General features: G+C 41.4%; 1 protein-coding gene across 9 annotated transcripts in view, besides 2 other annotated features; it reads left to right on the plus strand.

Moving 5' to 3' along the window:
• CELF2 (CUGBP Elav-like family member 2) overlaps positions 1-13,672 on the plus strand; it is an 874,126-nt gene that overhangs the window by 126,010 nt on the left and 734,444 nt on the right. The window lies entirely within an intron of this gene.
• Positions 503-1,053: an enhancer, noted in NCBI's record as "NANOG hESC enhancer chr10:10631025-10631575 (GRCh37/hg19 assembly coordinates)". NCBI's record gives its function as "activates a minimal SCP1, AML or CMV promoter by ChIP-STARR-seq in naive H9 embryonic stem cells {active_cell/tissue: H9 hESC(naive)}" and the evidence as "EXISTENCE:reporter gene assay evidence [ECO:0000049][PMID:30033119]".
• Positions 1,015-1,214: an enhancer, noted in NCBI's record as "active region_2991". NCBI's record gives its function as "activates an Ori minimal core promoter by ATAC-STARR-seq in GM12878 lymphoblastoid cells {active_cell/tissue: GM12878}" and the evidence as "EXISTENCE:reporter gene assay evidence [ECO:0000049][PMID:35858748]".

Genomic DNA, 13,672 nt, shown 5'->3' on the forward strand with positions numbered 1-13,672 from the left:
ATATGGTGGTGGGGTGGGTCAGACTAGCAAGGAGGCATCTCTTGGAGGGATTGTAGATGACTCAAGTTTGTTCCTGATAGTTAATGTACTCTGATATTTCAAATGGCATTAAAGAAGTATATGAGATTTACATTTTTACCAAAATAGGTCAAGGGGTAAAAAGGCTAAACAATGTTACAGCAAAGCCATTAATTGAACAATGAACCCTAGAGCTATTCTCAAGGTATTCCAGACTTGGAGCACTCCATTCGGAAACAGACTCCTCTATCCTATTCTGGTGTGGATGCCAGTATTCACAGAGTACCACCCACTTATGTTGAAGTGCCAGTTTAAACTCTCCTTGATGTTTCCATGCACATCAACTTACCCGGTCCTATAAAACAAAGAGTGTCTGGGACAAATCTCAATTCATTTAGAAGTTTATTTTCCCAAGGTTAATGACATACCTGTGACACAGTCTCAGGGGGTACTAATGACATGTGCCCAAGGTGCTCAGGCTACAACTTGGTTTTATACATTTTAGGGAGACAGGAGACATCAATTAATAGATGTACGATGTACATTGGTTTGGTCCAGAAAGGCAGGACAACTGGAAGTGGGGGCTTCCAGGTCATAAGTAGATTCAAAGATTTTCCGCTGGGCAATTTGTTGAGTTGTTAGCTAAAGACCTGGAATCAATAGAAAGGAATGTCTGGATGAAGATACAGGTTTATGGAAGCCAAGGTTCTATCATGCAGATGAAGCTTCCCACTTAAGAGACAATAGATGGCAAATGTTTCTTATCAGAGTTAAAGGATTTGTTCTACCAGTCTTAAGGTCTGTGTTGATGTTAATGGTAATAAGGCTTATCCAACTATCCCTTCCCATCATAGCCTCAGCTAGTTTTTCAGGTTAACTTTGGAATGCCCTGGGCAGAGAGGAGACATCCATTCAGATGGCTGGGGGACTTAGAATTTTAATTTTTGTTTCCAATTCGTACACCTTTCCTCAGTCTGAGCTAGGTAGCTGTGGCTGGTGCTGTTAACCCCATTTGAGAGAATGTGAAAATGAGACTCACAGGGGCTTAGTGATTCATTTCAGTCCACCAGGTGAGTGCCTGGCCAAGCTGGGGGTCATGGAAATTCATCCTTTCCCCCACAAGAAAAGACGTGAGTCACTGTCTTCACTGTTCACATGAGAAAGTCACAAGACCCAGAGAAATTAGGCAAATTCTCACACGTCATTCAGACAGTGAGTCGCAGAAAGGCTGGCTAGGATCCAGGTTATCTGACTCTGAGGTTTATAATCTTTCCTCTACATCATGCTGCTTCTAAAACCCTGGCTAAGGTCCTAGACTTCCCTCAGATACCAGGAGCAGTGTCCTTAAAACAACCCTAAAGTAGTGATTCTAGGGTGCCTACCTCTAAGTAGCCCATTTTTCAGTCCTGGCAGGAAATCTGGGACAGGTAGATTCAAGTCTCTGCCCGGGGTGCTCAGGAATCCTTCCATGGCCTTGTAGAGGTGAGGCCACTGTCTGGGGGTTTTATTTGCCTCCAGGGCTATAGAAACATGTGCTGCCCTAAGGTATGACATAGCAGGCATGTGAGTGCACACATGTGCATGCACACACACACACACACAGGCTTTTATAATCTCCCTCTATTTGGGGTGCAGAGATGGGAAGAAACATCATCTTAAAGTTAATTTGTTATTTTCTGTGGCAATGGGGTCAAGAAAAGATTGGCTATTTGAAACCCACAGATAATCCCCAGCCCTCTATTTTAGCCATTATTTTTTAACATTTCACAGAGGTGCTTATGAGCAAGGAAATGTGTAAAATGCACCCTGAAGCCAGAAAAACAGGAACCAGAACAATTCACAAACTGAATTATCAGCCCCAACTGGAGAGTAAGTTGTATAATAAAAGGCACAATTTTCAGTCCCAAATTGAGAGTAAGTGGTGTAATCAAAGACGGAATCACACTGGCTATTCTACCTCTAATTCCCTTCTGATAACTTTCCTGCCCTTTACTACCACCAGCCACGAAGGTACCCAGTGTCTCTGTGTTCCACCCTCAACTGCTCTGGACAGCCCACCTTGGCAGCCCAACAGGTCTGCCTTCCTGACCAAGCTCTGTCTCAGGTGTTCTCCACTCAGTTTCATGTTAGATCTACCAGCAAAGCTTGTGGAAAATACCAAGGACTGGCCCCTCCCTCATCAGTTAAGTCAGAAACTTTATAAATTCTTCAACTGATGCTTTTGCTAAAATCTAGGCTCTGGGCATTTCTTTTTTTCTGCCCTTTGTCCGTCAAAACTTATTTGTCTCTGTCTCATTCTTTTAAACCCTATTCCTCCAGGGCAAAATGCATGTGTTAAGTTGCTATGGTAGATGAATAAAATTGTCTATCCCTACTAAGCACAAAATAAATGCAAATTAAAACAATAAAGTAGACCTTCTCACTTATCACATTGATGATATTTTCAAACATTTAATTCCTGGTGTTCACGAGAATATAAAACATATACTCCTATTACCATTGAGTGACCATAAACTGATAGAATATATCTAAAAAAAGTGATTTCGTCATCTATGTTAAGACATAAAAGAGCTCAAACCCCATAACCTAGAAATTTCATTTAATTCATTAAAAGGAAAGAGAAGATATATAGAAAATTAATTATGGGAACATTCAATATTGCGTTATTTATAATATCAAAAATGATTTTTTAATGAAACATTTAATAATGGGATGGTTAAAGGTGTAACAGTGTATCCACTCTATGGAATAATATCAAAAGTTACATTTACAAATGTAGATAACATGGGTATATGCTTTCAGTACATTAATACTAGTGGGAAAAACAAAACACAAAGTTGGGCATATAGTAAGTATATATGTATACATACATATAGATGTATACATTTAAAGAAAGATGTGAAATACTGAATGTTTATCTCTTGGTGGTGGGATTAAAGGTAACGTTTATTCTTTTCTCCTTTAGATTTCTTTATTTTGTAAGTGTTGTGACAAACTGTGTTACTTTTATAATCAGGAAAAACCAATGTATATTTTATTAAAAATTACTGTAGAAATGGAGGTTTGATCTGTTTCCCTTCTCTGTTAAGACGTTTGCACTTTTTAAGGAAACTGACTTTGATTAGAACAAAGATTTTCCATGAATGGGAATCTGTGGCAATTCAGTTCCCAGCCACTCAGCGTCCACCGCCAAGAGAGGCTTTGTCACCAGTAGCTCTGCTGTGCCTCATTCCATGTGTATTTAGAACCCAAAGTCTCTCCTGCACTCAGTGTAAGGCATATTATCCTGGCATAGTGTGTGTTTGCTACCTGGGAGTCTATGTGTGTTCACACACACACCCCCACATACACACACATATCCTCTTGTAATTGGATATGTATTTGTTTCATTAAATTCACTCAGTCAGCAGTTTCTACACTAAACAGTCCCTGAGGCCAAAAGACAAAAAAAAAAATCCGTAATCAACATACTACTTTCAAGTGTGGAGTACCGACCTATTTATAAAAGGAAATTAAGTAAAACCGGTAATTATAACTAGCGTACAACCTTTCAACATAGTCAATGAGAAATGCAATTTGCTTAAAATAATGAGATACTCTGGCAGGAACAATCTGTTCATATGCTGTTCCCAAGAGCCTCAGGATGGAAACGAAGCCCTGGCTGACATTTGATACTATCTGTCAGTTTATCAACTCTGTCTCAGGGTGAGTTTTACGATGGTGCTAGGAGGTTTGGGATGGAAAAAGGAAAAAGAAGAATCTCTGGGTAGATTTTTTCTATCCAGTTACAGGAAACCTGTTAGAAAATGGATTCCGATTTCTATTTTAAACGCTTGAACAAGTAAAATAATCAACCTCAGACCTTCCTTTCTGTGGGTTTCATTTAGCACCTTCCATTCCTTCATACTGTCAGCCAACCCAAAATGTTAAAGTCTCTGACACACTGCTTTGCTGGCTACTCACGACTTCCTTTGACTAAAAGTCATCTGCATTTGTCTTTCAGAGTTCATATCTTATAAGATAAGACAAATACACAAAAGGTGAATTAAAGAGTGTCAAAACCAACTAATATCTACTGATTTGGGGAGCCTTTCCCTTAGCTAGTTACAGACAACCTCCTCCTGATTTCATTCATTCATTTCCTCAGTCACTCAGCACATTTTATTGGCTACTGCTAAGTGCCAGCCACTCTGCTAGAGGTTGGGGGTAAAAGGGAAGAAAGCATGGGGGCGTTGCGGTGTCCTCAAAACCCCCAGATCCTAGCAGGGGAGTAGACCCATGAACAAGACATTTGGAAGCGTGGTGATAGGGATTTTGAAAATGTTTAGAAAGGATACCTACCTAACCCCACGTGAAGGGCCATAGGGAAAGTTTAGAAGAGAAGTGTCAAAGAAGAAATATAAGACAAAATATAAACCAAGTAGCAAAGGATGAGTTCAAGTTAACCAGGCTGAGAGAAAGGGCATTCCCAGTGGAGGGCTCAACATGAGCAAAAGCAAGCAAGCCAGATCCACAGCCAACAAGCAGAGTGCTATTGTTAGGAACTGAAGTGGTGAGCAAGGAGTGGAGAGACATGATGGTAGGAGGGTCAGCAGATACATCAGTTGGATTTTGCTGTATAACAAATCACCCCAAAACTTAGTGGCTTAAAATAACCATTTTATTTACTTATGATCCTATGAGTGATTTGGGGTATCTTTTTGGTCTGGGCCAGCTTGGCCAGAGATGGAAGATCTAGAACGGCTTTGCTCATGCATCCAAGGTCTCCAGTAGAATGACTTGAGTGACTTCACATGGTCTCTCATCCTCCAGAAAGTTCACCTTGGATTCTTCATATGAAGATGAAAAGTTCTCAGAGATCCATGAGTATGCAAACCCCAATGCCCAAGCATCTCTCAAGTCTTTTCTTGCTTTGTACTTCCAAATGTCCCATTAGCCATAGCAAGTCACCGGCCAAGTCCACACTTAATATGAGAGAAGACCTCAAGGGTGTGGGCACAGGGAGGTGTGATAATATCACAGGCCAGTATTCTAGTAATCTACCACAAAAGGGAAGACCATTGAGGGTCCTGAGTGATACGCTAAGGAAATAGGACACTATTTTAGGCTTTAAACCAGGAAGATTTGTATTTTAAATGGACCATCTAGGCAACCCTGATTTCAAATAAATCATTGATTCTGTAATGAAAGCTCTGGAGATGGACAGAGCTGGATTTGAATCTTGGCTCCACCACATTCCACACATGAGACTTTGAGCAAGTTCTTTGACCTCTGCAAGCCTCAGTTTTCCCATCTGTGAAGTGGATACAATAACACCAAATGCATACTCCATAGGGTTATAGTGAGCATTACATATGGGGAGGCACATAAAACACACATAGTATAAAGCTTGTGATGAGCACCCATGATGCATTAGCCATCATGACTTCATCGTGATCATTATTATGGATTTGCAGATGATGGGCTGGGAGCAGTTACGATCCAGATACAGGAGTACAAGTGAGAGATGATAAAGACCTGAAATGGGCAATAACCGTGGAGGCGGAGAAGAGGTGATAGGTTTGAGAAATATTTTGAGTTTAGCATTGGCAAAACAGGAAAACTGATTGTACGTGGAACTAAGAACAAAAGAGACACAAGAGAAATCGCCAGATTTTCTAGCTTAGGTGACTGGTGGACTATTTGCTTTCAACTGGTACAGTTAATGCAGGAGGAAACGCTCATTTAGAAAGAAAAAGTGATTATTTCTATGAGAGGTAAGTTTGAGATGCCTATAGGAATACAGGCTTATGGGCACCCATTGGACAGACACTGTGCATTTAGTTCGAGCTAACCTGTGCCCAGGCATGAGACTGCATAGTGCGAAACTCTGGCCATCCCATAAGAGGCCTCCATTAGAAGGGGCTAAGCTCAGAGAAGAGCCCAGAAGCAGAGAAAACTAAAATCAGCCAACCAGAGGAAAGAAGAACAGAATTTTGCTTCCTTTAGGAAGCAGCAGCAATTCAAGACTGATCCACACAAGGATATGTCAGAGTCCCAATCATTACAAGAATCAAAGGTCATCAGGTAGGAAGAAAACAGAACCAAGAATTTGCTCAAGAGCCATAGAACCATGACTAGGGGAGTGTTGGGTACTAAGTCAGTGCTTTTAGGAATTCTCTCAACCCTTAATTCTCAGGACTCTGGGGTCACTAGAAGAATTCATCTCTCCCCTTAGAAGAGGTCAGAAAATCTTCCAGGCAGAAGAGATTCCAAAGGGTGGGCTGGTTGGGTACTAAGTCAGTTCTTTCAGGAGTTCTCTCAACCCTTAGTTCTCAGGACTCTGGGGTCACTAGAAGAATTCATCTCTCTCCTTAGAAGAGGTCAGAAAGTCTTCCAGGCAGAAGAAATTCCAGAGGGTGGGCTGGTTGCTCATGCTAGGACATTTGAGGGACTGCCCCCAGGCAACATAAACGTAGCTGCAACCTCTGACTTTGACGTTAGCCCAGATAGAATAGTTTGTAGACACACTAGTGTACAGGGCAAAGGATCTTGAAATAATGACCAACTAGGTCATTAATTCTTAAACTGATACCACAGACCATCTTGCCATGAAAATGTATGTTACATAAAATTATTTGTACAATTTCAGGACATGCACAAGCCTCTTAAAGGTGATCCATGGAAAATCTAAAGGCCTGAAGACTCAAAGCTAAGAACTTGACATACAAAGGGAGTAGGAAGGAGTACCACAGTCACGGGTAATAGAATCCTCACCCTGTAAGGCTGTGCTGGGACCAGGTCAGGGCAAGGATATACAAAGTACACACAATGTAACCATGATGGTAGCCAGAATGACTCAGATTTGATAAGGACATACTGAAAGTGAGGTGGGAGGCAGGACTCGACTCCAGAGGTAGGGCTTAAACAGTGGACCAAATTGAAGACCTGCTGAAACAAGGATGGGGTGGAAGCAGCTTTCCATAAGACAGGACTACTGGTGTGCCATGTCGGTTTACTACTGCCACAGCAATACCTGGGGGTTACTGTTCCTTTCCATGGCAATGACCCAGGGACCCAGAAGTGACTACACTTTCCCTAGAAATACCTGCATAAACTGACCCTTAATCTGTTTGCAATTAAAAGTAGGTATAATGGTGAAACCCCCATCTCTACAAAAAATACAAAAATTAGCCAGGTATGATAGCATGCACCTGTAGTCCCAGCTACTCAGGAGGCTGAGGTAGGCAAATTGCTTGAGCCCAGGGGGTGGAGGTTGCAGTGAGGTGAGATGGCGCCACTGCACTCCAGCCTGGGTGACAGAGTGAGATTCCATCTTTAAAAAAAGAAAAGATGGTATACATATTACTGCAGAACAGCCCTGAGCTGTTATGCTCTGCCTATGGGGTCACTCTGATCTGCAGAAGCAGTCATGGAGCTGTAACACTACTGCTTCAATAAAGCTGTTTTCTTCTGCCCTGCCACTGGCTAGCTCACCCTTGAATTCTTTCCTGGGAGAAGCAAGAACCCTTGTGGGCTAAGCCCCAGTTTGGGACTCACCTGTCCTGTATCAAAAGTAGTTCAGAAAAATGATCATTACTGCTCCATTTTTGTGTAGTGGGTACTGAGATGAAGAGGGTTGAACTTGGTGAGAAAGCAAGACTTTTGGAATTTGAAAAAGGATTCTAACTTCTACCTGTAAAAAAAAAAAAAAATAGCATAGCAATACCACATTCAAGTCTTCATTATAATGTTCGCTTTGAAAAAGGATTTAAGAAAGTTAGTTTTTGCTTCCCTGGGTTTAGAACATGGTTGCAGAGCCATCCACCCACTCTCCACTTTGTCTCAGAATTGCACATGTGGCTTGGTGCCCTTTCAGAGAACACTGCTTGCGTGGGGCTTGGATCTGCTTTGCCATGGTGGGTGGGTAGCAATCTGTGCAGGAGGAGACCCAGTTGCTACTGCAAAAACCATAGGTGGCCTAGGAGTAGCAGACAATTCTGCATTACAGAGCATACAGGATCATAGAGGATGGAGTTTGTGGTCTTCTGGAAACACTGAACAACCTCCTGCTTTAAACAACTGGAAGTCTTCTGGGGTGAGCGCCTGCAGGGCACCTCTGGGCCCAGGCATTTGTCCTCTTGTCCTTCACCCATTTCTCAGAAAGAAGGAAAGCCGTGACCTCAGCTGTCCTTTCTTCCTCTTCTTGAGTATTTTCCACCTTTTTCTCTTTTCAAGTTGAAACACAGCTCTGAAATCTGTGGGAGTGGCATGGAATTTGGGGATGTGGGTTTTCACCCTTGCTGTGAATGGAGACAGATTCTTCCTGTACTAACTCCCACTTCTCCTCAGACTCTTCTTCCTGACATTTCTTCCTCCTCCACCCAGAAAGCTATGGTGGTTCCTCAAGGGTCACTCAAGAGACCAACTTCTCTCATCTGCCAACTACTACCAAAGCACCAGAGTGACACATGAGCCTTCCTTGTGACAGTCACCTGTGTGCTTACCCCCAGGACACCCTCTATTCAGATGGAAGTCTTGAAAATAAAACTCCATCCTCCCAACCTCAAGCCAAATATGAATTTTCTAAGTGTGTTCATCAGGGATAGAAAGAGATTTGTCTCCAGATACTTAAATTTTGGAAGGAGACAGATGACTCAACCAAAGAGGCCCAATGAGTTAGAGAATTCACTCGTGTAAATTAAGCATCTTGGAATCAGCCACATTAAACTGATTGATAGTACATTAGAAATGACATTATGAACAATGGCAATACTGTAAGCCTTGAGAATATAGATTATTTGTTTGCTTGTTTTTATGTCTCATATACCACAACTTTTCAGACAGTAAATTCAAGCAGCACATTTCAGTGTGCTGTGGACAGAGTCCTCAAAGTTTTGTGTTTCTTGAATAACAATGACAAGCCACACTTCCAAGTCATTTCTAGGCAAGCACAAATGTGGCATGAAAAAAAAATCAACTCTAATGACTAAGAGAACATTTTGAATAAATGACCTTTTGATATCACATAGTAATTATAATTAACTTTAAAGGACCGGCATCTGATACATAGTCCTGTAAAAAATCCTTATAGTTGATTCCAAGTTAATGGTAAGATTGGACACATGAACACAGTAAAGTACAGCAACTTTAACAAAATCACGTTTCAAGTGCCCTGATCCCTTGGCCTCTCCTGCCACTGCTCAAGGTTTTGCAATCTTTTTCAAGTGCTTTTTCTAATGACCCTAACACTTGACTATAGATAAAGCAACACATTTGTCCAGTTAAATATTTTCTCTTAAATATTCCCCAGTGCATCCCAAAACAAAATAGTATCTAGGATTAATTAATATTAATATTAATACATAAATATTACTTTTCAATAAGATGTAGGCATGAGCCCTTTAATGAATCGAGTCTAAGGACACTACCTCTTTGTGCAAAAGGCATATCATTTGTCAATTCAGTGTTTTCTAGTTAAAAAGGAACCCTTTGGTATCTGGGTTAAAAAGCATTTGAAATAATACTTTCTCCTATATTTATATGAAATGGTGTCCAGAGAGAGTTGGGGTCCTTCCTAAGGACATAGAGCGCTTAGAAAATATTTCATTTCAAATCTTATGTTTCATCAAAATATTTCAGATGAGATGCTGTGATGGCCAAAGATTGTGTTCTAGAAACTCAGGTAGACATGAATAAAGTATGAACATATTTATTACATGGGGACTCAGTTCCTCCTCAGAAAAGGCCCTTGATAGACGTCTGTCAGTCATCCTTCTTCTAGAGGGGCTTTGTTATTTTTCTTTTACCACAGTTCTTCAGGGAATTGGCAGTGAGTTCTGTACAAGGGCCATGATTTATGCTGGGCAGCCATATTAATCAGCATGGAAACAGAAGCCTGGCCACTGCAGAAGTCTCACATCCTGCAACGGAGCGTGGCAAAGTGACCTGGGTTTCTGAACTCATAGTGCATTGGTTAAGAGCCACCTGGCTGCGGTTACAGAGACACAATACATATGCATGTCGTTATGAAGCTACACATATCTGTGCAGGTTATTGTGTGCCTATTCAGAGAACACTATTTAGATTTGATAACTGAAACTAAAGAATTCAGACCTACTGAACAATTATGGGATTTCACCAACATTTGAAAAAAATCAAGGGCTGATTTTCTTTTTCTTTTTCTTTTTCTTTCTTTTTTTTTTTTTTTTTTTTTTTTTTTGAGACAGAGTCTCCCTCTGTAGCCAGGCTGGAGTGCGGGATCTCGGCTCACTGCAACCTCCGCCTCCCGGGTTAAAGCAATTCTCTGCCTCAGCCTCCCCGGTAGCTAGGATTACAGGCATGCACCACCACGCCTGGCTTATTTTTGTATTTTTAGTAGAGATGGGGTTCGCCATGTTGGCCAGGCTGGTCTCAAACTCCTGACCTCAGGTGATCCACCCTCCTCGGCCTCCCAAAATGCTGGGATTACAGACGTGAGCCATCATGCCCGGCCAGGGCTGATTTTCTAATTTTTTAATAATTCAGCATTTTGTTTCTCTTTCTTCCCTCATGCCCAATTTGGGGACTGATTTTTAAGCTTCCAGGTATATTGGTGAGTATTATTAATTAGTATAAATTGAAAGAATACTATAGAGAAGTCATTGAGAGCAATGACTTTCAATGAGACTTCAATTGAAATTTTGGCTCCACTTCTTATAAACTGTGACCAGAGCCTGTCACTTAATTTCCTTGACATTCAAGTTCCTTGCTTGTAAAATGAAGATTAAAAGAACTATATTCCTCCAGATTTACTGAGAAGACTAAATGAGGGGATGCATTAAAAGGAACCAGCAAAATGCTTGGCTCAGAATAGGTACTTGGTAAATATTAAAAATTTTCATATTTACTAGCAGTAGGCAAACTCATATTAAAAAGAATTTATTCTCTTCCTGAATTCCAGTTGATAGCATAAAATGTGCCCATCAAGACTGTAAAAGTACGGGGAGTTGACAGTCAGAGAAACATTAGCTTTGAAGCTGATGAGCCTACAAAGGAGATAATGGAAAAATACGCCTTAAAAGAGTGAAAAGGTTATCACTGTGCGCTTTGCTGCCAAACCACCTGCGACGTGTTTTTAATTTTTTTCTGTTGTCTTTATTGTTTCGTCTCTGCCCTTTTCTTTCTTTCTTTTTTTTTTTTTTTTGTTTTTTTGAGATGGAGTCTCGCTCTGTCACCCAGGCTGGAGTGCAGTGGCACGATCTCGGCTCACTGCAAGCTCCACCTCCTGGGTTCACGCCATTCTCCTGCCTCAGCCTCCCGAGTAGCTGGGACTACAGGAGCCCGCCACCACACCCGGCTAATTTGTTATGTTTTTAGTAGAGATGGGGTTTCACCCTGTTAGCCAGGGTGGTCTCGATCTCCTGACCTCCTGATCCACCCACCTCAGCCTCCCAAAGTGCTGGGATTACAGACGTGAGCCACCGAGCCCGGCCTCTGCCCCATTTCTTTATATGTCTTAATGCTGACCTTCTGCACAAATGCACCACTATACCATTACCAGTTATTACCAGCTAATAGGGTGGGAGCTAATGAACACTTACAACTCTGTCCTCAGGAAAGTGCAGAGAAATTCATGCATCCCAGGAGGGGATGCTCAGAAAGAGGAAGCTGGTTTATGATTGGACTGCGTGGGCGTTTGCAAAGCAAGGTTTCATTGAAAAGAGATGTTTTCTTGTGGGGCATTTGAGTCAATTACCAAAGTCTATTTTTAAAACTTCTCCATATGAGCCTGATCTATCTCTGAAGTTGTTTTGAAGACCACAGGACTGCTTGTAACATGTGCCATTGCCATTCTGCTTTTTATTCTTTTGATTGGAAGGACTAAAATGATTTTCACTTATAATGTCTTTTAAAGGATACAATTTGGATCAAAACAGAGACATGGAAGTTACCTGCATGGTGGTGATATTTGTAGCCATGGAAACAGAAGCCCAAAGTGGCAGAGGAAGCATAAAATCTGGGTGTAGAACTTTGGGAAAAGCTTTTATTCAGATGATGGATATGGGAAGAGGAGACAAACATAATAATCCAAAATATAGAGAAACTGATACATGTATTTAACATGTAAAGCAGGGAGTGGGGAGGACAAAAGTTGAGCAGAAGTTTTTCAGTTTGTTAAAGACACGGATCCTCCTTTTCCAAAGAATTTTATGTCAAGCTCAATACATAAATTAATGAGCAAACGAGTAGAACATACTATATGGCACCACTGTGAGCAATCTATTTATAGTTGCTCATTTAAATCTTATTCAACCCTGTGAAATAGGCACTATTTACTCCTCCCATTTTACAGATGAGCAAACTGAAGCACAGAGAGGTGCAGTCATCTGCCCATGCCACATAGCCAGCAGGGGTGGAACCATCATTTGCATCCAGAAAGTCCGACTCCAGGGTTAGCAAGGTCTGGGAAGACATCGTACAGCAGGAAGAACAGGCCTTCCACAGGCGAGAGCAACAGCCAGACCGGAAGAAAGCAGAACCATAGCTTTTCCATAGTTAAAGAGATCTGTCGGCTCCAGAAAGCTTGACCAATACCCTACCTCTTAGAACTCCCCTTCTTCATTCTCCAGGACTGAATGGGGTTTTAATTTCCCTGCAATAATCCTGAGAATAATTATCTCAGCCCCTCCATACTGCTTCAACCCTGATATCAAAAGCCCTAAGGGGGAATGGAGGGAAATACAAAGTCACTTAAAGTCATTGTTGCAGTGGCAGGGAGAACAGGGATGGGGACAGCAGCAAGAAGAGGTTAGAAGAAGATTTTAATGGTGTTGTAAACATTGTCGTGGATCTCTAGTGAGGGTTTCAGGATTTAATCTGGAGATCTAAAGAACTTTTGATAACTTAAACCTAGAACAGCACAAAACATGGTTAAGTGGAAAAGAGATGCCATCCCTATGACTTTGGGCCAGGAAAGCTCCTTCTGAAATGGGGCACATTTAAACGACAGTTGGTTTTTCTTCAAAACATCCTGTCTCTAACCTTTTAAATGGCTAATTGACTGCATTATAAATTTAAGGAATGGCCCATCTGTGTTCTATTCTGTCTTAAAACAAACAAAAAACAAACTTAGCTCCTATATTTGCATTCTCTCAATTGCAGTTTAGCATGAGCATTTGGGTTCATTCTTTTTTTTTTTTTTTAATTTTAAGTTCCGGGGTACATGTGCAGGATGTGCAGGTTTGTTACACAGTTCAACGTGTGCCATGGTAATTTGCTGCACCTATCAACAAATCACCCAGGTATTAAGCCCAGCATCCATTAGCTATTTTTCCTAATGTTCTCCCTCCCCAAACCCCACCCCTCAGCGGGCCCCAGTGTGTGTTATTCCCCTCCCTGTGTCCATGTGTTCTCATTGTTCAACTCCCACTTATAAGTGAGAACATGCTGTGTTTGGTTTTTTGTTCCAGTGTTAGTTTGCTGAGGATAATGGCTTCTAGTTCCATCCATGTCCCTGCAAAGGACATGATCTCATTCCTTTTTACGGCTGCATAGTATTCCATGGTGTATATGTACAACATTTTCTTTATCCAGTCTATCACTGATGGGCATTTGGGTTGATTCCATGTCTTTGCTATTGTGAATAGTGCTGCAGTGAACGTGCTTGTATCATTTTAATAGCGTTTCAGTTCTT

This window comes from Homo sapiens, chromosome 10 (assembly GCF_000001405.40).
Source record: "Homo sapiens chromosome 10, GRCh38.p14 Primary Assembly".
Taxonomy (NCBI): Eukaryota; Metazoa; Chordata; class Mammalia; order Primates; family Hominidae; genus Homo; species Homo sapiens.